Source organism: Homo sapiens, chromosome 4 (genome assembly GCF_000001405.40).
Source record: "Homo sapiens chromosome 4, GRCh38.p14 Primary Assembly".
NCBI lineage: Eukaryota > Metazoa > Chordata > Mammalia > Primates > Hominidae > Homo > Homo sapiens.
The window spans coordinates 181,371,843-181,398,503 of record NC_000004.12 but is presented as its reverse complement, the minus strand read 5'-3'; the positions used below and the strand labels follow the sequence as shown (position 1 = coordinate 181,398,503).

The 26,661-nt window shown below is 36.1% G+C and overlaps 2 long non-coding RNA genes across 2 annotated transcripts in view; both read left to right on the top strand.

Moving 5' to 3' along the window:
• Positions 1-9,303, top strand: part of LOC124900822 (uncharacterized) — a 38,107-nt gene extending 28,804 nt beyond the window's left edge. The window contains exons 2-4 of the long non-coding RNA XR_007058402.1: positions 3,930-3,998; positions 7,654-7,765; positions 9,227-9,303. This is a non-coding gene — a long non-coding RNA (uncharacterized LOC124900822). The remainder of the gene's footprint in view (positions 1-3,929; positions 3,999-7,653; positions 7,766-9,226) is intronic.
• Positions 9,295-22,772, top strand: LOC107986205 (uncharacterized). Its single transcript, XR_001741489.2, has 5 exons — positions 9,295-9,353; positions 11,091-11,212; positions 12,954-13,084; positions 20,563-20,603; positions 22,177-22,772. It is a non-coding gene; the product is annotated as an uncharacterized LOC107986205 (long non-coding RNA).
• The last annotated feature ends 3,889 nt before the right edge of the window (positions 22,773-26,661 follow it).

Sequence of the window (26,661 nt, the reverse complement as noted above, 5' to 3'; positions counted from 1 at the left end):
TTTATGTATTTTTACTCCTGGAAAAAAATATAAATGTAATCATTAGTTTACCATACATAATAATTCAAAAAAAAAGATTCTGAAAACAACCCAGCCCACAACTGTCCTGCTGTTCGCCAAAATGTTTAGAAACTTCTAGAGCCTCCTTTCTTCTATCGATTCCTTGTAATGAAAAAGGCCAAGACATTAGAAGACTCAGAGGAATTTTTTCTTTTTTCTGCTTCTTTGGGAGAAGGAACTACATTTCTTATACCCAAAGTGACGGGTTAGAAAGCTGACAATATGGACCTCAGTTCATTATGAATAAAATGACCAACCTAAAGCCCAGAGAGAGGCTCCCCTGCAGCCCCGGGACTGATCTTGCTCATACTAGGGAAAACCTCAGGCTGCTCTAAGAACGGTGCTAAAAAATGCATAAGCGGAACTTCTCTATGTTCATATTCACGCAATTACTTTACAGTGGTGTTCTACCTTGTCTTCTGACATGAAGAGGATTAGATGAATTATGTTGCTGGTTTTTGTTTAGGAGGTAAACTGAAGTCTCTGGAGACTAGGGTGAAAAGTTACTTTTGTTGTTCTGGGGTTTTCTTAGATGGTTGAACTGAAGCATTGTTTTTTAGTGTCTAGAAAAGTTCCCTCACATCACAATTATTTAAAAGACTATGGGGATGTATATATTATAGGTAGAAATGCATTTTAAAATATATTAAATATATATATTTGAGGTAGAGGTAAAGGGGTCTGATATGGTTTCGCTGTGTTCCCACCCAAATCTCGTCTTGAATTGTAGTTTCCATAACCCCCATGTGCCATGGGAGGGACCCAGTGGGAGGTAGCTGAATCATGGGGGCAGCTACTCTCATGTTGTTCTCATGATAGCGAGTGAGTTCTCACGAGATCTGATGGCTTTATAAGGGGCTTTCCCCCATTTTGCTTAGCACTTCTCCTTCCTGCCGTCATGTGAAGAAGGATGTGTTTGCTTCCCCTTCTGCTGTGATTGTAAGTTTCCCGAGGCCTCCTCAGCCATGCTGAACCATGAGTCAATTAAACCTCTTTCCTTTATAAATTATCCAGTCTTGGGTACGTCTTTATTAGCAGCATGAGAGTGGACTAATACAGGTCAATATCTGTATTATTTCGTCCTTCAGCAAATCTTGCGGAGGCTTATTACAAAGAAGGATAAATGTTTTGTAGTGATTTGTGCAGATTTAAGCATATGATCAAAGTTTCTCCTTATGTGTGTGTCTGGCATTTCTAGGTCTTCTTTACAGATAAATGTGCAGGGCCAGCTGGAGACAGGTGCAATCAGTGTGCTAGCATCTGGCTTCCTGCTTTGGCTCCAATCATACAAGTAGCTTTACTTCAGCAAAGCAAATTAGTAAGGGATCACAGTTCTGATGCTCAACAAAACCAGACAAGCCTAAAGGAAACTAGGAAAAAACAAGAACAAAAGCCCACTGAAACGTGGGTCAGCGCAATGAGTGCCAGGAGCTCCCGGGTTCCGCTCCTGCTCTTCAGCTGTCCTCTCCCTTTGCCTGACCGAGTGATGGTCCTTGCCATTCCATTCTCTGTGATGTATCTTGTCTCCCTGACTCCTCAAGCCGCTTCTGTCTATGTCTACAAAGGCAATGGCATATATTTGTCCAGGGTGCTTGGGGCACGGGTGGGCTTGCCTTTCCATTTCTTTTGCAATGTTGGTGCTAATGACCTTATAATTGTCCTGACTTCTCAATGAAGGGTGAAGTACTCAGAGCATGTCAAAACACTGTCAAGTGCCATTTGAGATACTGCGGTAGTCTCTGTGCCTTGCATCTCTGGGTTTTGTATAACAAGAATTAGGGCTACTGTATGAAAAGGTAGGTTGTGGGAGGCACTCTTTGTGTAGAAAAGAACTGTTATAAACGGTTTTAAATAGATTTTTGAATGAAAATTTATGGCAAAATGAGGGGTGGAAGGGAGATTTCCCAGGATAAGCTTTTCATGAAAGTCCTAGTCTAGCATCTTATATACTGGGAATCCAGCAGTTTTGTGGGAACCCACAAAACTCTGGGACAGGAAGCCAGATTGAATACAGTGGTCGGAAGAACCATGGCTGTGGCCATGAGAGATGGACAAGGAGAGTAAAAGGAATTTTTTAATTTCTTTCTTGGTGTTGTTTTATAGGATGAATGCTGTGCAGCTTTGTTGGTTTGAAGGAACTAAGGAGGAAGTAGAAAACAAAAGAAATAAATGCAGTATCCATACATACTGTTGTTGTAAAAGTAATTTTGAATGAGAAGGAGCAACAACATTGTTTTATCAGTGACAAGTACTGACCAAAGACCTCTTTCTTGAAAGACAGTTGAGATAACCCACTCCAGTGCCAATCAACGTGCATGTGAAATAGAGCAGTACCCATAGCCAGTGCCCAGGCAGGGCTCCAGCCATGACTGTAACCATTGTTCACCTTGATGGAAACACGTTGAGCATCAGCTTTTTAATGGTGGTGGACTAGATGATTTGTAAGGACCTTTCAGCTCTATTGTAACTGAAGTTCATGAGTTCAGAAGTCAGTGGTGTGATTTTGATTATTCCTGCCTACTAGAAGAAATTCCTTGAGATATAGAAAAAGAAAGTAGGATTTCACACTCACCTTAAAAACCTTTTTAAAGAGACCTATATCATCTAAATCATTTCCAAAAAAATCCAAATTTTAAGAAGGTAAATAAAATAATTATGAAATTAACCATCTCATTATGGTTGATGTGTTGAAATATTTTATTTTAAATAGAAAAAAAAACCCATGAGTTTAACATACCCTGTCTCCTTTATAATCTTGGGCAAGTAATTTAAGCTCTCTGACCTCAGTTTTCTTATCTATAAAGCAACAACAAGATTTGTTTCATAGAAATTTTTGGAAGATTAAGTAAAATGGTATCTACAAAGTGGTCAGCAGAGTGATAAAAGCAGGTGATCGGTATTTTAATACTATATGTGGAATTTTAAAAACAGTTAAAATTGTACATTCATCCTACATTAGGTGACCTGGGGTATATTTTTATATTATAAACTCTTATTTTATCATCTCTAAGTTATCATTGATTTTATGATGCACTATTACTTTGTGTATCACTAAGAAAAATAATAACTGTCAAACTATGACACAATGCTCAGATGCCACCGTTTGTAAGATAAATCCAAATTTCAAAAGGGCTAGAATTTGAGAAGCACGCATCTTAAAATGATTACATATAGAGTTCTAGATTTCTTATTTTAAATTATATGTAGGATACATTTTAACATAGTTGACATTAAGTTCTTATTAAAGTTCTACATGAAGACATGTCCTGTTTTATATGTCTGAAATATTAAAAAGGATACATGATTATATTGTAATTTTTATAGAAATGGTTCAATCCCACTATGATGTTCATCAGGTCATAGATTTGCTTACTTCATCCTCCCAAGTAGAAGTAAATTCTTTAAGGGCAAGGATCTTATCACGAATTGCTATACAACATCTCTATCATTCAGCACCTAGACTTAATTTATAGTAGATATTCCATACATATTTTAATTGGTTTATGAAAGTGTCTTCATAGACACTAAAATTATAGTCATTTAACAGTGATTAAATTGTCTCATATTAGTGTTTTTGTTTTTGCTTGTTTGAATTTGTTCATTAAATATTGTACCATACATGAGACAATTGATATTTCTTCTTAGACTTGAACTTGGTGACAGACCCCAGACCCTATTGATTTCTATTTACTCAAATAAATGCAACACTTGGTGATTAGAGAAACACGGTAACTGTTTCTTTGTGGATGAACAAATGATTTTGACTTTAGAATGCCTCTGTGTCATTGAGAGCCAGACATGATATCAAGCATTGCCTAAGCATACCCCTGAAATGATGCCTAATCTCTTATTTTTATCTGGTTTCCTAGGAAGCGGTGGCTTTGTCTTCACATTTTGTGTAGCCATACTGTTAAAGCCTGCTGGATTTTCAGGGGCCAGTAAGTAGTCTTTAGTAATACTAGTTGTCATAATTATATTTTCAGCTTGATGGAAGGAATATATTCTTGTAATGCCAAATTATTGTGTTTGAAAATTATTCATATTGCCTTACCTGTGTTTCCCAATGCTAGAATTAAAAATTTGAAATTATAACCTAACCATAAGTCAGTAATAACAGAGGATAGTTTAGAGAGAAAAGGTTTGGTATTTGGGGTCACAAATCTTGAGTTTGATTTTCATCACCTTCCTCCGTTGTGACATGGACCAGGTCATTCAACTTGAGGTGAGACTCAAGTGAGATGCATGTACATTTGTTAGGTAAGCTGTAAGTTGTAACATACAACTATATATTTGGATTATAATAGTGGCAAACTGCTTATTTTTCTCTTAGACAGATATATAAATGATAATTTGAACATGGTTACAAAACGTAAAGTTACCTCTAATTTTGGTACAAACTCGACTTTTCCAACTGCAGTGAAACTCCAGTACAAACAGATTATGTCATTGAAGCTTCATATATAAATATAATTATGTTATGTACTTTAATGATTTCAAACGAATAAAGTCTTTCTAAGATGATCTTCTCAATGTAACATGATCCATGATATTTTTGAAACTCTTGAAAAGGAAAAAAAAATTGCCTGAGGAAGTGAAACAGTCAGTTTTCATATTGGCATGCTATTTCATGACCATCAGGTGAAAACTTTTCAGGTTTAATGCTTTATAATTCTCCCAGCTGAAGCTTTAGAACTTCAAAGCACTGTAGAACATTTCAAATTTCTCTTCTGCCCATGAGAAAACCCTTTGCATTGAAAGTTGCTTTCAACTGGAATCCTACATTTGGTATTACACAACAGTGACATATTTTTACGAGATTAAAATTACACACCAAGAATGCTAAGTTGCCCAAGCAAAACCATTTCTACTATTAAAAATGTTCCCACTATACACTATGAAGAGCTATGACCTTTTCTTGTCCGTAAATAATGCTTACTATAATAAATGTAAGAACCATTTATAAATTCCATATTTGCCTAAGAAATACCCATCTTCTAACCACCTGTAATTTACAAAGAGGATTTACTTAAGCATAATTATGTTTCCTTTAACTAGTAAACAATAAATCTACCACTGATTGTAAAGACAGGCGATCAGTGGGTATTATGAAGAAAATGACATGAAAATCAATATGTAATTCCTGGGAAAAGGGCACACTATACTTTTAATTTGAAATCTACCAACGGCTAAGTCATGAATATAAAACTTGCCTCTGTCAAAATAATTTGTTTGCTGTAAAACTAGGAATCATCCTTGGTTATCTAATACTTCAAGAAACAGTGTATTAGCCCCTCTCAGAATCTGTGTGACGCTGGCCCCCTTTGGCAACTAAAAGAGCTCTTTGAACCATAGAACAGATGTAATGAAAATTGGTTCCATTAAATGCAGCTGGTAAATTACAAACTGAGAAATTAATGCGCCATACCACGACTCTAGGGGCTAAAATGAATCAAGGTGTGGTTGCCAGATGCTCACGTTTCATCACCACCACCCCCAATAAAAACATCTCTGTTTATAGATTTGTTTACTAGAACATAAATTATTCATTTAGGCAATGCAAATTATGAGATCATGATGAGGATTAATCCACTAACACAATAATTGTGTTATATTCAAGTAATAAAATTTTAAAAGAAATAAAACCTACACCATGTAATTCTTAAACACTCCTTTAGCTTAGGAAATGCACTGGATTTCCAGGAATACTCACTATCCTATGATATGCTGTCTCTGAATTCCAGTGGGAAGGGAAAGCTGATTTGATACCATCCATAAACAGCATGCTCCTTTGTTGATCTCAATTCAATTTATTCCAACTTGATGTGCTGCTGATGGCTCTACTAGTAGAACCTGACAAAAGTCCATTTAGCATCTGTTTTTGAGGTGCTCTTCAATGGTTCTGAGTAGTCCTCTTGAGTCATTAGCTAAACATTGTTTCAAAGAACTACACTTGCAAGAACCCCCCTGTGAAGACTTGAGGGGAGGGAACTGAAAGCATATTCCTAGGTAATTCAGGCAACCCCTGGGATATTTCTCCCCTCCTTTCCCTTCTTAAAATAAATAAATAAACAAATAATTGCTGGAGGCTGGGTTTTGTTAGACTTCTATTGCATTGCAGGTGTACAAGTAAAACATTCTGGAACTAAGATGGTTCAACTTTGCTTATTTGAAAAAATCTAGATTTCTTATTAGCCATTTAATGTAGCTAGTTGGTTCATTATTTTCAAAGAAAATGAAATTTAGTCATTTAAAACATGTTTTTGTAGTAACTAATTCGGTTCCACAGTGGAAGATAGAGGAAATGAATAGAAAGGGTTCAAAAGGGGATAGAATTATTGGCAAAATTTGATTTTCTAAGCAGAATAATAGGTATATGGGTATTATTGCACTTTATTTTTTGTATGTCCCAAATGCTGCATAATAATATTAAAATTTAAAAATGTTTTAATGGGCTTATAGTAAAAAATGTTATGAAGAGAAAAATTTTTGGGGGGTGGGGGTCATTATTAATATCCTAATTTTCTCCCTCACTGAAGTAATTTTGAATTTTCTGGGATTCAAACAGAGAACAAAGATATACTGGATTATTTGGGTAAATGTTTGAGTGTTCTATTTTTCTTCACCTAAAATATGTGGCCACATACATATACACCCTGAGTGTTTTATTTACATATAATATGGAATTCATTTTCTTCATACCTTCATGATATAAAGCTATTTTGTAATCCACAAAAATAGCCTGGACAAGAATATGACATAGTTTGATTTAGGAATTGCAACAATAAATAATGATCTAATTGCGATAATAATGTAGTCCCATTTTCTTAAACTAAACTTTGTATACACAAATGATTTTGTATTGCATTAACATGTCCCTCTCGTATTCTTTTAAAGCAGCTGTTAGGCACACAATAAGTGAGTACCTTTAATTCGTATACACAAAGAAAAGTGTTATAGTAAAATGAAAAACATATACATTTTAAGCACACGTGATACACACCACACATTCTATAGTAACTAGTTACTGTGTGTAGGTTGGGGTGGCCTAGTTACTTTTCTGTCCAATACAACACTATTCTAATTAGAGCACTGCATCATACAGAATTACACTACTTCCAGATAAAGAACTTTTTGTAAAGTGCACAGATATTGCAATATGCATGCTGTATGCTTTATAGCTGTTATAAGCATGCAGCAGTGACAATTTTCCATTGTTTTATAGTAGCATTATTTCCACATACAGAGACATACACACTAAACGCATGCAATTGCCCGCATATTCGATATGCTTTACAATACCTATATTTCACCATTAGCAATTTGTCCTTTGAATCAAATTGAAATTCTTTTTGAAGTACAGATATGTTATTTTCATACTTCTACAAAAGGTCACGTTTCTAGATGAGTAAAAACAAGTTGGTCATATCTTGAAAGCTCTGAAAGAGTAAGTAAAAGTCTATGCATACCTAAGCATTCTTTCTTCCTTATAGGTATTCATTTGAGAATTTTTTAGAAGAGGTTTTGATGTGTGTGGTAATTAATTGAAATAAATGAAAAATCTGCCTTATATCCAGACTAAATTTGCTTCAACAGCTGCTGATCCTCAAGCTCTGAATGTCAGCCAATTAGTGGAGAAGTTTTCCATGGCTGCTGCCCTAACCAGGCTTCCTGTCTGACAGCCCCATTCTCAGCCTCAACCAGGGAGGTAAAACTTTAATTTTATTTTTTTTCATTTTACACAGAAGTCAAATCAGCAGATAAAAGATGTTGAGTTTTTTCAGATGATTGCTAACCCAAAACAACATGGCACAACATAACACATGACCAAAAATAAGAAAATAATATGTGGATTTTGAGGTTTAGCTAATCTTTGAATAAATGTCAGCTAACAGATTATTTTTTCCACTGGACATAATATAAAGAACTCCCCCCCCCGTTTTAATATAATAGATGAAGAAATGGGAGATGGGCAAATGTAAATGTAAAATTTAAGATCTGCACACTCTGAGGCACTTAGCAGTTCCTTTTAATCCCCTCCAAAATCTCTCTAAAAGTAAACGTAGAAACTCCCTTTTGGATTATATACAATTCAGAGTTAAACACAATTTTTTATAGATCAAATTATTATGTCTCATTTAGATTTTCATTTGTTAAAATCTGATGAAAAGAACTGACGTATGACCCCCTTTGTACAACCCAATTTCCTAAATTTTTATTTTACACTAATGCCTATACTTTGGCAAGTGGATCAGGTAGAATATCACAGATAAAGACCACACAGTAGTTTATATCATTGACAAAAGGCACAGTTAGAAAATTGCTGGTTTGCTACCCTTCTGTTGTACAGGAATAAGTCAATTCTGGTAACTAAAGTAATAGTCAACAAAATGCTAAATCCTGTTTCTACTGTCACTTTCAAGATGCAATATACTCATATCTAATACAGGGAGACGAGTCCGTTTGTGAACAGTCAGCCTATATGCAAAATGAGAGGTGAAATTTAGCCACATGGAGAAAGCAAATATGATTCCAAGCGCAATGAAGTTAATTGGAAATAAAATACATAACATTTATTGGACTTTAAAACAGTGAATTCCAAAATAATTAAGTTAATAAAAGTCTCACTCTTTCCTGAACTAAATTAAATGGCTCTAAAATTAATTTCATTGGTTTTTTAATTCACTGTTAACTCAATATAATGAGCTTTTAAAATTAACTTCTTTGTTTTTGAACTCACTGCAGAAGTCCATAAATGAACTTTTTTTTTTTGTTTAACTCATGAGTTAAACGAAACTTTTTCCAGATTTAGGAAGTAGTCATTTGATAGGTAGATAACAGAGGCATGTATAAGATCTAGGATATTTTACTTGGGGCATTCATCCTAGGATGTGAAAGGACCCATTTACTTATATAGTTGCCCCACAGTGTCCTCAGGGGAATTGATTGCAGAACACCTCCCCTGCATACCAAAATCCATACCCTATGTAAGTCCCTTTTATAAAACCTATGCATATCATCCTGTATACTTTAAATTATCTCTGGATTATTTATAATGTCAAAATACAATGTAAATGCTATGTAAATAATTGTCATATATATTGTTTTAAAATTTGAAGTATTTTTATTGTGGTTATTTTAATTTTTTTGCAATATTTTTGATCCATAGTTGATTAACTGTGGGATGAGGAACTTGCAGATACTGAGGGCCAACTGTTTTATATCTGCTATATGGACATGAGAAAGGCAAAGAATAACAAAAGTGAAATCAGTGATTTCAAATAATTATCTAAGAGGTAAATATACAGAAAACCAAAATGAACTTTCCAACTCCGGCAAATGGCATTTCAACAATGACCTAAGATATAAGTTAACAAAGTAATATGGATATTATATTTCTAAAATTCTATCCATTCAGTAGCCCAGATTAAAAGCTTTTTCTATATTTTCAAGATGGCAAGTAAGAATTGTACAATCTACAATTCATCCTTATGTGCATATTAAAATAAAGGCAAAGCTAGGCTCAGTGGCTTGCACCTGTAATCCTAGCTACCCGGGAGACTGAGGAGGGAGGATTACTTGAAACCAGGAGTTTGAGAGGAGCCTGGGCAACAAAGCAAGACCGTGTCTCTTAAAAAAAAAAATTAATTAATTAGCTAAATAAAGGCAAAAGAAAAGGCATTTTGCGTGTCTTTTATTGGTATATTTGGATAACAAATTATGAAGATTTATTTACATTTCAACTACTTAAATTTTAGTATCTGACTCTCTCTATATTTGGAACCTATTACTATAATGAAATACCTCTCATATTTGTATTTTACTTTCATTTTTTATTGCTACCAGTTTGTCCTACACGATTATCAGCCCAGGCTTGAATAATTATCATAGTGCCCTAGTTTATTTTCCTGCACTGACTCCCTTTCTCCTTGGAAATGTAGCATTTACGGTTATCCTCTCTGGAACACTCCCACATCAACCATCCTATGCATATCACCTGCCTTTCTTGGCTAATTCCAACTGTTCTGCTTTCAAAGCAAAGATCACTAACTCCTGGGAGCCTTCTCTTACCCTGCCTCCCAGGCTAGGTTAGGTGCTATTCCAAAATACTGGGTATTACATCTCTTTCTGACCACTGCTGGGCTGTGGGCCTTCCTTATGGTGAAAAATGGGTGTCTGCTTGTTTCATATTTGAATTTCCAGTGCTTGGCAGGGTGCATGACACATAATTTGCATCCAATAAATATTTGTTGAATGAATAAATCCTTAGCCACTGTCAGACTACTATTTCTGAAATATCGCATTCAATGTGTTACTTTTTGTTTAAGAAACTTCTCTTTTAGGTTGCTTTATAAAATCTAAACTCCTTTATTTCAGTTTATTTGTAATCCGGCTTGTTTCCTCAGAGTTCTAACATTCTCTTCAAAAGCCTTCCTATGTCTGTTCCCCTGCCTGGGACACTTTTCTCTCTCCTCAGCTCAAATTTCCTGATTCCGATCTCTTCAATTTTATGACAATTAACATTGATATTTTCATTGTTCTAAATGTATTTGCCATCCAGTGTAGCTCTTGATTATTGTATTAATTTTGTTCCCTAACTAGATGGTAATTCTTTGAAGGCAGCAACTATTTGGTAGTCCTGATAAGATTATAGGATCATAATCTAGGAAACAGGATTATAAAATCTTAACAAGTTGAGCTAAACACGTCACCTGATTCAGATCCCTACATTTAAACAAATAAGATACTGGGGCTAAGAAAGTGATTACATCCCATGCCAAGTCAGGTCCCAAGGGTGAGGTGAAGACGATGCACATAGCTTCTGTGTTACAGTATAGTCTGCCTTGCCATTGCCTGACCAACATAGCCATTTAATTGTAGTTAACTATCTTTCATTGAAAACCCTGTCTATAGCTTTTCCAGATATCCCACTCTGTAATCTTAGGTGAGCTACTATCTCTCTTATTTAGCATTATAGGGAATAAAATTCAAAACCTGGAAAATTTTTATTCACCAATTTCATACTACTTTAGGTGCTTAACAATAGCTTATTCCAACAAAGAGCTACACTCGAGGCTATTAATAGAGCAAGTATTTGGAACAATGAGATGCAGAGAGCACCCAGCTTCAGCTGATGGCTCTGAGGAAGACCTCGGTAGGTAACTGCAAAGGGTTGTGCCTTCGCCTGTGATGTGTGGCCCCTGGGTATTCATTCCTGGAACGCTGTCTCTGATCCTCAGCTGGACCCTCTGGCTGATAAAAAGTGCTGCAGCCAACCTCATGGCCACTGTGCCGGGGGCCCATGATCTCCAGTGTCATCACTACACTAAGAATGATTCTGGAAATTAGAGCCACTGTTCAAGTGGTTCAGAGGGATAAAAGAGATGGGCCTCCATTGTCACTGTAAATGTCCTTTTCAGTAAAGTTTAGGTAAGACTAAAAGAAGAGCGAAATAAGTCCTTTAACCTTCATCCCAAACTGCCCAGGTGGTTCCCACTAAGACTCCAAATCCTGGCTGTGTATTTTTTTTTTTAAATCATTGTTTTGGAATCCCTTTGGATGTTTTTTCCCCAAATAATCTGACTCATATATATCTGAGTATATGTATGCATTGACCCAGTTAGCCTCTTTTCGTGTTCATGCATTATTTGAAAACTTCCCCAAATTAATTCTAGTATGTAGTTCATCAAGAAGGTTACATAAAATCAATTGTACATGTATTTGAGCTATTTTGTTTACTTTCATTTATTGCTTAAGTTTTCTTTTTATTTCCTACTAACTAATCTGACATACCAATAAATTTATCTCCACTTAATATTTTTAAAACTTCTGGTATCAAAGTCCTACATATTCTAAATCATTTTTTTTTTTTTTAACATTTGAAATGTCTCCATAGTTCTGGCTCAAATGTTGATTCCTCATTCACATTTAACTTTCTCTAGCAATCTTTCCTAATGACCTAGGGATGAGAACAAGTTTTCTTTGATCTGGAGCCTAAGCAAGGACAGTTCCCAATAAAATTGACATACATCCTTTAAACATGCCTTAAAATGAAGAAACAGACAATATCTGCCTTGCTGCTTGTGGTGTAATGTCTCAAAAAGATTAGCAGTCACACAATTTGTGTGCATTTCATGACAGCTTCTAGCAGCATGCCACTATTAATATTTGCTCAGATGCAAACTTCAAAACTGCAAAATCTCCATTTTAATATCACACAAAATAGTAAGATATTTGCTACAGCAAAGATAAAGTAGAGCACAGTGATAGCCTTCTTTAATAATATGCACCTGCAAGATATTAGATCAGGTAATTAATATTTCCTTTAAGGTTAGCCAAATAGGTGGTCATTGGAGAGGTAATTAACGAGGCAAGCTAACATTTCTAAATTCAACACAAAGTTACAGTCAGGAATACAGGACTTAACTCTGGGAAAAGGAAGTGCATTTCTTGTGTTATTTTACTTGAGTAATTTTAAATCTTTAATGCTTTAAAAATTAATTACACCAATAGGATCATTGCTTTATTATGCTGTCAACATGAAAAGAACCTTTAGAGAAGTAATTCAGGTTTCTTAGCCCCTAGACTCTAATATTAAAACAGTACATTTACTATATTAAATGACCAGATTTGGGCAAAATAAGATGTGCATGTAAAACAACAGAAAAAATTTAGTGTGAGTCTAATTAATTTTTATATTTTCTTGCTTGGGGTTTTCCAAATGAACGAAGTCATTTCTATGTAAATGATTATGTCATCTGGTGGTTGTACTTTAACATGTTTAAGTTTTCTGACAATAAATATATTTGTTAAATTCTTGGTGGGATGTTTCTCTTAAATGGCATATTTTTAAAATATCAATTTTTATTCGTCTAAAAATCTCTTTATTATGGCAGATTTTTACAGGTGATACCATTTGTGCAGGGATACTTCCAATTATTTAATATTTTGTTTTAAGAGTAAAAGAAGAGACAAAGAAGGTATATGATTATAATAGCAAGAAAATAAGCATCACAGTGAACATAAGGTATGGAAAGGAATTTTTAACCCAGATATTTAATGCAAATATGAAAAACACTGTTTTACTGTTAGAGAAATCCAGTAATGGACAGGTACCTTTGAAAGTAGTGCAAACTGTACTCTCTATTATGTTCCACTTTTGCTTTGCAGAAATAAAGTGAATAACTGCTTGTGTAATTGTGAATTTGATTCACATTCACAAGAAAACTCAAGACACAAAAAACTGGGCCACACATGGTGGGTTGTGGCAGAATGAGTGAAGGAGGAATGCTACCTGACTTTTTTTGATATTACTCTTATATGTATTTCATATATGATCTATTGTCTCATGATTTCAGAGATAATTATACAGAAACAGTTGACTTGAAAGAAAAATTCTCGTAACACGGAAGCTTTAATTGTAATGCTTATATCATAGTACTAAAAATAAAAAACGAAGATACTGCCTGTACACTTATAATCAAGCTCTACATTTAATAAAAAGGGAAAAATTCATATGCTTGTGTTGTCAATAAACCATACTTCTGAAAACCCTAGGATCTGGCAATGATTTTCTGTGTTTAGGTATCAGAAATAAATAGCAAGAGAGGATAAAAATATGACTGTAATCCGAATCTTTACCACTTCAGTGTTTAAGTTTTGAAAGGTCAGTTAACAGTGCTTGACAAAAATAATTGATCCCAATTACACAAGTGCACGTTTGCTCCATAATACAATGCATTTTATCAAGTCAAATATGGATATATTATTATAAAACAAAATTGTCATTACTGATCATTTGAATATAAAATGTTTATTAAGTAATGTTTAATAAGAAAATTCGTATTTTTATTTATGCTGGGATATTAGTCCATATGAGATAATTAGATGTACATACTACATTAAGATGAGGCTTAATGACTAAAAATGTTAATAAAATATAAGAGGGACAGAGGCAAATAGAACAAAAGACTGTAAGCCACAGGGCAGAGACCTTGTCTGTTTTCCTCACTCTCATATCTTTTGACTACAACAGCTCCTGGCAACAGCTATTTGGGTTTGAATAGAAGAGAGCAAACACTAGATCCCATATGATAGAGTGATTTTGAAGTTCATTGAAAACAGTATTTAATTCATATAAATTAAGTAGTAGATAGAATCCATGAGAAAATGTAATTGGAGGTTTGCACTCAAGAAATATTTCTGAGCACCTATTTGCTGGACATTAGACATACAGAAATGAAAAAGAAGATAAAATTTGTGTCCTAGCAGGACTTTATGGCGGGTGGAGATAGAAGAATATTTTATAAATATGTAACATGTTGTTAGTTCAAACGTTGAGAGAAAAATAAATAAGAGAATAAGGGACAAGGCATCCCCAAAAGGTTTCTATTTTCATTTTGGCTATTTACAAAACGTGGTGGCCAGGGAAGACCTCACTAATGTGCAGATATTTGACTTGGGGTAAGAAGAAGGTGAGAAAACAAACCATGAGGACACATGAGGATTAAATAATAATACAGAGGCCTTGAGGTGGGAATGGTTTTAGACCATCCAAGAAAGAACCAAGAGATCCATGTGGCCCGAGCCAAGTGAGCAGGAGGAGGAAAGAAGATGCAGTGAAGACCCATCACCCAGGGCCTCAGAGGCCACGGTGAGGACTCGGCTTTTACACTGAACGAGATGGGAGTTATTGGTTGGTTGTGAGCAGAAGGATGACATGGCATCAATTCAGTTTTAACAGAGTCTGTGGCGTGATGCTGAAATCAGATTGTAAAGAGCAAGGATGGAATCAGGCATACAGTAAATAGGGCTTTATGATAATTGAGGTGGGAGACAATTGTGACTTGGGCTATGATGAGGGTTAGAAGTGGCAAGATTCTGGCTTTGCTTTGAAGGCAGAGTTGACAGGGTTTACTGGTAATTGGTTGTACAGACTGAGTTAGGCTAACAGAATAACTCCAAAAATTCTGACCTGAGCAACCACACCAAAAAGTAGTTTTTATTTACTGAATACTTTTGAAGAAGCAAGTTTGGGGGGTGGAAAATCAGTACATATCTTCAATTAATGTACTGAGAATATAGTCTCAAATGGGGTTCCATGATTACAGCTAAAAAAGTAAAGATTGATATTAATAGGTGGGAATGCTTTTGAATTTCCTTTCTGTGTGACTAAGTCCAGTAGATGACTAACGTAGGTCATTCCCGAGCAATACATCTTGTCAAGGCATGGACTGAAGGAGGCACCCACTACAGTGTGGCACTTGATTAAAATTAAATCATAAGTAATAGTGATAAAAATTTAACTTCAGCAATAAGTATCTATGAAGTTAAATTTTCATTAGCTGTATTAATAATGTGCCCATATCTACAGTGGAGGAAAAGCAAGTAAAATATGCTCTCCCTGACATAAAATAATCCCTAATTTGAAGCCAAATAATGCTTCTGTGGACTAGAACGTCATTCATCATTGCAGATGCTAAAACGAACTTTAACACGAAGACCCTAATCCAGGCCTTCTGGGGAGGTTGGTATTACTTATAGGGGCAAAAAATTGGTTTAAAAGGGGAAGGTTACCAAAAAAAAGTTCTTATATTACCATGGTTTTTGTTTCTCCAAATAGCACAGTACATATATCTTTGGTATGAAAATCTAATGGGTACATGGTAATTAGGAATAGAAAATATCTAAAAAGGCTCGTTTGGGGGACCATAATGATACAAGTTTAAGAAACACTGCCAATACTAGGTTTAGGTGCAAGGTTTATACAGATAAGTTTTCTTAAGCTATAAATTCAAAGTTGTACTTTTATCAAAACCAAACAAAACAATAGTTGGGAAGAAAAAAGCCAACAAAATGACAGGAGGCAACTTGAGCCTACTGCCACTGTCATCCTTGTGGCCCAAAGGGCCAAGGTTATTTACTTGCTTAGTCTAATAGACAGAATCACTAACTATCCTCACGTACACAAAGGGAGAAGAAAATCAGTCACTCAGAACCTTCTGGTCTATGGGGACCATGGGTCAGGTCTAACAGTGACAACCACAGATATTTATCATACTGGTCAGTTTGCTATAGAGTAAAATTATACCGCATTCTGGTCCACATGCTAGGACCCAAATAAAAAGCTAGAGAGAAATTAAAAGGTATGGAATCCAACTGACAGTTAATATTCAATGAATAAGCACTGGGTAAAGAAGATAGAGGTGAGGTTTTAGCAATACACAGATGTGATTTCTGATACCATTGTGAAATAGGCTGTTTATATTTGGCATCATCCTGAATTCACCTTTCCTCTGTTGCATTTCCTGGATTCCCCTCTTGTATGATCCATGTATTTCACATAATACATTATTTCTGGCTACCCCAAACTGAACACTCTTTTTCAGTCTCTCTTGATAGCTCCCCTCTTCTGCCATAATGCATTATATTAATGAAAGCAATGCCCTGTGATATTCTCTTTCATTTCTTTCTCATCCCACTTTGCTTACTTATTATCTCTCCTTAGTCAAACTTAAACACTCTCCTGACTTTACCTTCGATGAATGATAAGGAGTTACAAAAATCTCTCTTTCCAATCCTGACCTCTTTCTGGAGCTACAAACTAAACACTAGTATTCCAATCTTAATAGGTCCACAATAAAACACATTACATCCTCTCTTTCTTCATCTCTCTGTGCTTCTTTCTTTCTGTTTGCCTTCCTTCAATTAATGGTCCAACTCAACTTCTAGTCCTCAGTCTACAGAAATCTAAGGATCATTTCATATTTCATGTTCCACTGCTGTTGGAAAATAATAGCCCCCACCCCACCACAATATATTTATGTGTTCTAATATACGTGTTCTAGTTCCCAGAACCTGTGGATGTGACTTGGGAGAAAAGGTCTCCATAGATGTAACTAATTTAAGGATCTCAAGATGAGACCACTGGAGTGTGTTCTAAAGCCCATGGTAAGTGTCGTTACTAGAGGCATACAGAGAAGAGGATAAGATGCAGAGAAGAAGAAGAAGGCCAGGTGAAAATGGAGGCAGAAAGAGAAGTGATGTGGCCACAAGCCAAGGAAACTCCTGCAGCCACCAGAGGCTGAAAGTGGCAAAGGATTCCTTCCCACAGTCTTCGGAGGAAGTGTGGCCCTACTGATAAATTGATTTCAGACTTTTGGCCTCCAAAGGTGGGAGAGAATATTCTGTTGTTTTAAGCCAGCAGACTTTTGGTGATTTGTCAGGACATCCGAAGGAATGAATAACATCCGCCCACTACTGGCAGCCAATTAGTAAATCAATCTAGTTTGCAATGAGATATATGGATTCCAAGTCTGGTTGAGGCTATTATTCTCAGATAGGCTCTTGTGTACAATAGTTCATACCATATTGGAGCAGAGGTAAGAAACTTTAGAGAGAAAATAATAAACAAAATATAGTTCACTAGCTAATTTATCACAGACCTCTAATTACTTCATGGAAACACAATCTACTGAAGTTACTTTTTGTGATTGAATAGAAATATGTCTCCAATTTTATTTCAAGTTTCATAAAAATAAAAATTGGGAGATTTCTCAGCGATCATTTTATATAAGTGCCACTACAGAAATACGCCCTCAAATGCACCACCTTGACGGCTTCAAGAACATTCTCATCAAAATAGCCTAATGGGTTAAGACTTAGCTTCTGAAGCCAAATTAACTAAAATTATATTCATGGGTGACATTTGCCATGTGAACTTGGCAAATGTTACTTGCCTCTCTAGATCTTAGTTCCTTCACTTTTTTTTTTTTTTTTTTTTTTTGCTTTTTTTCTTTTTTTTGAGATGGAGTCTCTGTCACCCAGACTGGAGTGCAGTGGTGAGATCTCGGCTCACTGTAACCCCGCCTCCTGGGTTCAAGCGATTCTCCAGCCTCAGCCCCCCTAGTAGCTGGGATTACAGGCACCCACCATCATGCCCGGCTAATTTTTGTGTTTTTGTAGGGACAGGGTTTCACCATGTTGGCCAGGCTGGTCTTGAACTCCTGACCTCACGTGATCCACTGCCTCGGCCTCCCAAAGTGCTGGGATTACAGGCATGAGCCACCACACCTGGCAGTTTCCACACTTTTAAGATGAGGATATGAATAGTATTTCTTTTGTATGTTTGTTGACAGGATTAATTGAGATAACGTTTGTATAGTGCTTACCAAAATGCCCAGGACATATTAAGCACTCAATAAAAAGCTTTATGATCATTGCTTCGAACAACAATGTCCGTAGGTAGATCTGATGTCAAGGTCGATGAAAAACCCTGATGACGGTGGAGGATAACCAAGGTCTATGAAAGATTGACAAGAAATCTCTGCTGTTATTTTCTGGAATGTTATATCCATGGCTCCGAACAAAGATTCCAAGAGAAATGATGAGCAGATAGCTAAAATAGCAACCATTTTTCATAATAATTTGCTTTTAGGTAGTATTGATACTTTCAGAATAGATAAATCTTAGAAATAAGCTCTAGGTTCTATATTTATGGTGGTTAATAAAGCTCCTGGGTGTATCATTTCCCCTTATGCTTCTCAGATAAAATGAGGCAAGCTGAGAAAAATAACAACCTCTCCTCCATCTTCCAAGATTACCTGCAAATTTGAAATTTCAGAATTTTGTGAAATGCAAGATACAGTGAATGAAATACCTGCCAATACTTAGTTTTCAGTAATAATGTATAAATGGGTACTTGAACATTTTCAATATTTATGTATTTTTTAAGTGTCTGAAGGCAAAAAGAGATAATAGCCAATCTTTTATATCTGTAAAAGCCTTATGTTAGATTATCCTTCACTGGCTGAGAACAAATTCTGTTTCAACAGCATTAAAAGAGAAAAACAAATCAGAATGAAGTGTGTCGCAGTACAATTCCTTTGTAAACAGCTTGTAGGAAAAAAAAAAAATGTGCTGCTAGAAATGTATCACTGATTACAGTTACTAAAAGTTAAAAGGGTTTCCAAACCTATTAATTATATTTCTTCTTTCCAGACGCAGTTTGGTATGATTTTCAAATTCATAGTATGTCACAAATCATAACCCAGGATCAAATTTTTCACAAAAGTTAATATGATTTAGCCAGTTGGGTTAGGTTTATAACACACACACACACACACACACACACACACAAATAGGTTTATAATTTGTGCTTAGCTTCGCAGGCTTTGGATCTGAAATGTTGCTAATTAGCATGTTTGCAGGACTGTGACCCTGCAAACTTGCGAGATTATAAGGCAATTCTTCACATGTGGCTGGTGAAAATGTGGCACCAGACAGAAAGGCACCCAGTGGTCAGCATTTTGGGTTGGAAGGAAGTGTTAGCCCATAAAGAGATATTTATCTTTGAGTGCTTGACACTGATTCCTGACCTCAGCGTTGTTTGAATGTATAAAAAGCCCAAATATCCAAAGCTATGGAATGGATCTTCAAATTTTCCCCATAATGAGACTCAATTTTTGAAACTGACTCCTTTAATGGTATAAATATATACAAGCATGTCCATGCAGGACTTCGGAGCAGAAGCCCTCAGACCCAGATGTCTCCATTTGAATCTGGGCTCCACATTCATCACATGTGGATCCCAGTCAAAGTATCTGATTCTTCTGTGCCTCAGTTTCCTTGTCTGCCTAATGGGGATGATAATAATATTACCTATCAAAAATATTAAGATGAATTAATATAGGTAAAGATTTTTAAATAGAACTTAGAATATAGGAAATGCTTTGTGAATGTTTGCTATTATTTTTATATTACATAAACTGGAGTATTGTTTTGCAGATCGTTAATTAAGGGAAGTTGGAATAAAATTACATGCAAGATAAACTGGAATTTGGTATAAATAAGTACAGAAGGAAAAGAAGTCGAATTCTATCATGTAACCTGAATATTGCAGAAAGGGATAAAGGGAATAACTTTTGGAGGACCTCAATCATGGTTCAGACAACATCAGTTCATGTGAATAAGGAATTTCACATGGTCCTCTTAAGGAGGAAAACAGTATTAGTATCGTTTTAAATATGAGAAAGAGAAAATAGTAATCTCTATTATCTAGGACATGTAGTTTAACTTCAATGCTTCACCTATAAGTACTTCCACCTGTAAAATGCAGATAATAGTAATGACTATCTTAAAAGATATTTGAAGTGTAAAATAAGCTTGTGGAGAAAATAATGCTCAGAATATTGCCTGGTCAATAATAAGCACTCCGTAAGTGTTATTGAATGGACACACACAACTTTAGCTGTTTGTCTAGACATGGTCTTTCTTGTTTTTGTTTAGAATAACAGTTAAAGCTTTCTACATAAGCCATTTTTAATTTAGGTGCTATTTATGGGTAAATAACAAGAAGACATGTTGTTCAAATTTGGAGCCTATTTTATATACATATATATGTATAAAAGCTTATTTTATATATGTCTTATTATCTATTTTATATCTATTGCCAGAAATGTAAGCCCTATAAAGCCAAGGATCATTCACTGTTTATTTTGTTCACAGGAATCTCCCAAGTTCCAAGAAGTGTGTCTGGCATACAGTAGGTAATTTATTAATATGATAATTCATGAATTAAAACTTAAATGGTAATTTATTAATGGAAAAGGAATAAATGGAAATATTTTTATCCTCTTGTACAAGTTTGATCTGTAAACACTTTGTGTAAATCAATGCACAGTTGTGTCACTTTTAGAACAATTTTCCTAAAGTTGATGGTGATGAATTCTAGGGCTGTGTAAGAAGACAAATGATCTCTGCCCCAGCAGGAAAAGTCTAGCTCTCTTTTTGTACAGAAAGGAGAGAATGGAGCTCGTCAGTACTACTGGATAGTTTTGTTGCCACTCATTCTTTTCAAAAATGGTGTATTTATAAGTGACAATTTGTCCCAATTATTTCAAGATAGACTAAAAAAAAAAAAAATCTAACACTAAATGGCAAAACTTTCCAAACATTAAATCATAAGAACAGGCAGAGTGTGATGACAAGAATAAAAAAGAAGGGCCGGGTGCAGTGGCTCATGCCTGTAATCCCAGCACTTTGGGAGGCTGAGGCAGGCAGATCACCTGAGGTCAGAAGTTCGAGACCAGCCTGGCCAACATGGTGAAACCCTGTCTCTACTAAAAATATAAAAAAATTAGCCAGGCGTGGCGGTGGGCTACTCAGGAGGCTGAGGCAGGAGAATTGCTTGAGCCCAGGAAACAGGTTGCAGTGAGCCGATACAGTGCCACTGCACTCCAGCCTGGGTGACAGAGTAAGACTCTGTCTCAAAAAAAAAAAAAAAAAGAAGAAGAAGAAGAATAAAAAAGTCAAAGGAAAGAAGTAGAAATTAGGAGCAAGACTAAAGCAAGAGAATCCTAGTAAAGATATTGGTACTGGATTCTCCCTAAGAAAATCCCCTTATCAGGAGAGCTATTGGTAGACCCTACCCAAAACCTAAGTACTAATGAGATCCTTTAGGCCATTAATAATGTGGCCTATATAGTCTATTTATTTATTCATTTATTTTTAAGATGGACTCTCACTCTGTCGCCCAGGCTGGAGTGCAGTGGCTCAATCTCGGCTCACTGCAACCTCCACCTCCCAGGTTCAAGCGATTCTCCTGCCTCAGCCTCCAGCGTAGCTGGAATTACAGGTGCCCGCCACCATGCCTGCTAATTCTTCTGCATTTTTAGTAGAATCTGGGTTTCGCCATGTTGGCCACGGTGGTTTTGAACTCCTGACCTCAGGTGATCTGTCCACCTCGGCTTCCCAAAGTGCTAGGATTACAGGCATGAGTCACCACTCCCGGCCTATAGTCTTACCTATAATTCTTCTTTTGGGGCTGCTATCTTTGTTCTTTCATTTAATTTAGTCAAAATTATAAGTGAACCTTAATTTGGTAGTGAGAACCCCAAGTACAGTGTTCTTTGTGCTTTTTCCCTATAGAAAGATAGGAGAGAATACAGAAATAATTACAATTTGAGTCAAAATACTTGCATAGCCTCATTTTGAAATAAATTCAGTTCCTAAAACTAGTAGACTCTAAAGAAATATGGAATGAAAGTACCCATTAGAGTATCAAGTTCTGCTCCCAAGCGACACACAAACCATTTCAATTCTTCCTTTCCCTTCTGAAAGGCTTTGATTCTCTGCTGGATAAGAAGATCACCTCTGTGGCACCAGCTGCCGGCAAAGCTGCTTGTCGATGTCCCCACAGAAGCTGCACAGAGGAAACGACTTGGCAAGTGGCTGCAAGACCAGCAGAATCCCTGGTTGCCCAGTGTCTCCTGCCATGCGTGTTTTACTCTAAGCAGGCTGCCTTCCGCAACAACCACGTGGAGTGGCCCCTGAATGACACCTGGAGTGAAAACTTCATGGAAAGCAACGTCCACCCTCCCTTCTTCTCTCATTGCTTCTTTCTATTTGACGTGGCCTTAAGGAAGCTCACGTTATCCCATAACAGAAGGCAGTGGTGATGGTAGGGGTGAGGGTAGGGATACGCATGAGAATCAATATTTGTAAATGAAACAGCGTTGTCCTCTTAGTATTCTCAGTAATAGAATCCGCCTGTTCACCCGAGCTCCTACGCAAATATAGGATCATCTGAGCGTGGTTTCTCTGTATCTCTCAACTCTTGACTTGACTTGCTAATGTGGGATCAAATTCTTCAGCATCATCTATTTTGTAAGGATTTAATTTCATATGTGAAATCTGGGGAATGGTGTAATATGACAGTTAAAGGGAACGGAAGCTATTGTGCTTTCACAAAAGAGAAGAGAGATGCCACACTTTAGAAACCCTGAAAAGTGTAAAGAAAAAGGGAGGGTCCGACAGAGTGAAGTACATGCAGAAAAGGCAAGTCCTGTGGTGTGAGTTCAAAGCAGTTGTATCACTACGGAATGAAGTCCATTTATATGATTCTCATTCTCAGCCTTCAGACATTTACAAGTAAACTACTAAATATAATAGATTACAAGTTCGCTGAATCAGAAGAATCCCAGCTTTTGGTATGATTAAGTTTTAATTGTATTTCTCCTTCGGGATCACTAGTAGCTAATAAGCTCATGAAAATAGGTCTTTAAATAGCAGGAGTAGTAAAAGTCTCTCTGTGCAGTATATTTTGGTATGCTTGGTTGCCTCGGGCATTCTGCTGTCTGTAGTCTCAAGTGTTCCGTTTTCATATCAATGAAATATCTAAATAATACTCAAAAAATCCTCAGTTTTGAAACAAGATATCAGACACTCAGCTTATGAGTGGATTTTTCTTTCAAATTAATCAATAGGCAGTTTTTAAAAAGTACTACTATATTTTATTTACGAGAAAAGCCAGTGGGTAAGACATCTATCCAGAGGCACATGTTTCATAGTATTAGCTACAGATATTAGACTCAAAAATTCCTTCTTTTCTACTGTATCTTTTAATGCTGTAAAATAGGGACCATGTACATATCCCTTTGTCTATAACAAGCCTAACTTTCCAGCGTGTTCAATGTACCCTGGTAATACGCTATGCAGTATCTTTTCATGGCATAATGGTATCATCTTAAAAATGCAAACAGCCACTATTTTTAAAACAAGTAAACAAGGCTAGTGTGAAAAATATGTAAACTCTTTCATGATATCATTTTTCATTCAGTGGGCATGCTTAGGGGGCATATGTATAATTTGCCAAATTGCTCACATTTTTCACAAAATATGCAAAAATATCACTAGAAGGAAGATTATTATTACTATTTCAGTTCCCTTGGAAGTATATCACCTCTTGGAACTATTGCAGTCATACTTTTGGGCAAACTGGTACAGAGAGAGATACACAGTCAGGACCATCCTTGCCTCTTTGGCTGACAAGTGCTTTATACTTGGTCAGCTCATCTACCGTTACAAGTCTAGATGTGTCTTTCTTCTCTGCTTACAACCTTTAAGTGATGGTTCATTGCCTACCGGTAAAGTCAAGTTCCCTAGCAGGTTATTTAATGCCATTCATGAGTTTACTTGGGCCCAGTTTCAGCCTAATTTCTCTCTACTTTTTCTTTCTCAAGCCACCCTCCGTGATCTAGGATTATTAAACTCCATATGGTAAAATGGCCATGAGGTTTCTCTTCCTTAGGCCTTTGCAAAAGGTACTGCCTTTGTATTTTATCTCTCTAACAAGTTTCTATGCAAATTTTCTGCTAATCTCAATGCTTCTTCCAGGAGGCTTTCCTAATGGCCTTCTTCGTGTATATAAATTTGTTCTCCCTCTTCTTGCATGGATTACACTTGTTGTGATTAACACATTGCAATGTAACATGTATGAATAAATAGACTGTAGGATATCTTAAAGGAAAGGATTACACATAAAGCATTATCTTTTAATCCTCAGCCTCTAGCATGGTACCTACTGCATAGTAATATGTCAGTACCTGCTAGATGAATAATATCATAGTTTTAAGAATTCTATGAACATAAAACAGACATAGTAAAGAATTCGATGAGCATAAGATGATACTGTAAAACCATTTTATAAATACAGCTACAGAAGAAGTATATTTATCAACTGATGTTTCTGCAAGTAGAGAAAATTTAATTTTTGGATGACCTCATTTATGCTTGAAAATGAATACGGAATGTAACTTGATCCTTTTTACAGAACTTGAAGTCATAAACTCTCCCTGTCACCTCTCTCTATTATATAACAAACACAATTTTATTTTTTTAATGGTGCCCTCTAAGAGTTTATTGCCCTTCAGCTAAAATACAGTGGGGAAGATGCTCTTATGGCATTTTTGACCTGACATGAAGTATGTGTCAACAGAACCCTTGCAAAAAGTAGCTCTCTCAGGATTTCTTCCCAATTTTGAGAAGGCAAGAGGTCCAGATAAACATCTCGACGTGAAGCCTTTTGAGGTTAGCTCATCATTACTAAGTTTCCTGCCCCAATCACTTTCAGACTGCAACTGTCACATCATTGATCACGTGCCTTTGGCCACAAAATCAATAGCATTGAGTACCTAGAGAAAACATTTGTTCTAGAAACCTAAGACAGACCTCCTGTCCACAACTGAGCAAAATATATCAAAGCACATTAACCATGGAATGATTCCTTGAGTTTATTTTGGTTAACAGGGATAATTTAAAGTAGAGAGATGGCCCAAGAGAGAGATTATCCACAATTTTATAGATTTACCAACTTCTCTCTACTTAGGAACCCTAATTTCCCACATGCTCACAGCTCTCCCTGGTGACTGTCTGTGGTTTAATAACATATGTTGCCTGGAGGGCGATGGAAGAGCTGAGGAAGCATCATCCAATCCGACATTCAATTGTAGGAATTGGAAAATGGAACACTCCATTTTATAGCACTGAAAATAGTTCAGGTAAAGTTCTAACACTTCCCAGGTATACAATAATTCTTAAGATTACTAAAGCATGTAGTGCCAGAATTTAGTTGAAGACAATTTTCCCTCATTTTCTACAAAAACCTCATTTACTCTAAAACTTCTTTACCTCAAAAACTTCTTAAACAACTTATAAATATCCATGCTAATGAAACAGTTACCTCTATTGACAAAAAGATGAAGAGCTTGCAAAGCTTGTTGAATGTCCCACCAAGAAGAACAATCTATTAGGACTCCTAATTACTAATGAAAATCCAGTTTTTATTATCTATTCCATCATACCATTATTTCCCTATGATAGTAAAAATAAAATGAGCTGTTAACCTCATCTTCAAATAGGATCCAGACCCACTGACTTCTCAGATTTGCATTAATAAATTTGCTTTTCTTTGAATAAAATGCAGGATTTTTTTTTCAAAAATTCCTTATAGATTTGGTTCCAAAATAATTGACACTGTATTGCCAAAAGATAGGGAAAAAGGCTCTAAGAGATGTGATGGCAAGCTGAAGAGATTTTAATACAAATGGATAGTAAAAACTGTACCCTTGGCAGCAGACATTTAAGAGTGTGCACATTCCCTCTCAAAAGCAAAACTGAAGATTCATGGATTTTTTTTTTTTACCAGATTCAGCAACTTTAGCAAATCAACCTCATATATAAACACACATGTACACACGATTACCCACACGAACACTCTCACCAATCTCAACTCCAGGATGGCCAGATTTTTTTCAAATTTAGGGACAAGGGTGCACATTGGTCTTTTTTTACTGGCTAGCTGAGTATGATACCAGCAACCTGCAGTGTTAGCTGCCCCGAGAAAGCACTGCAGGTAACATTGGTAATACTCACCTGGGGGCAGCTTTTTAAGTAGGAAGAGCCAATTCACACCTTTTGCTTAGCTCAGATATTGTCTCTTCTCAGCAGGAGGTGCCAATTGTGCCAAACTGTGCTGAATTAATTGGGGTTGCTTGGCTCTGTCTCCAGTTAGTTACCAACATATATCCATGAAAACAAAGAAAAACAAGGGAAAAACTCACCTTGATATTCTTGTTCTCTTATAACACATGTCTATCCACCTTATGTTCTTCTTGAATGTTTAATACACTGACCACTCTGAAGCTTCGGAGCTTTATCACTATACAGAAGTTCTTGTTGAGTGTGATTTATCACTACTTTACCTATATATATCAGTTTGAATGTAATCTTCTTGAATGGCTTATTCTGCAGCCTTTTATTTTATAA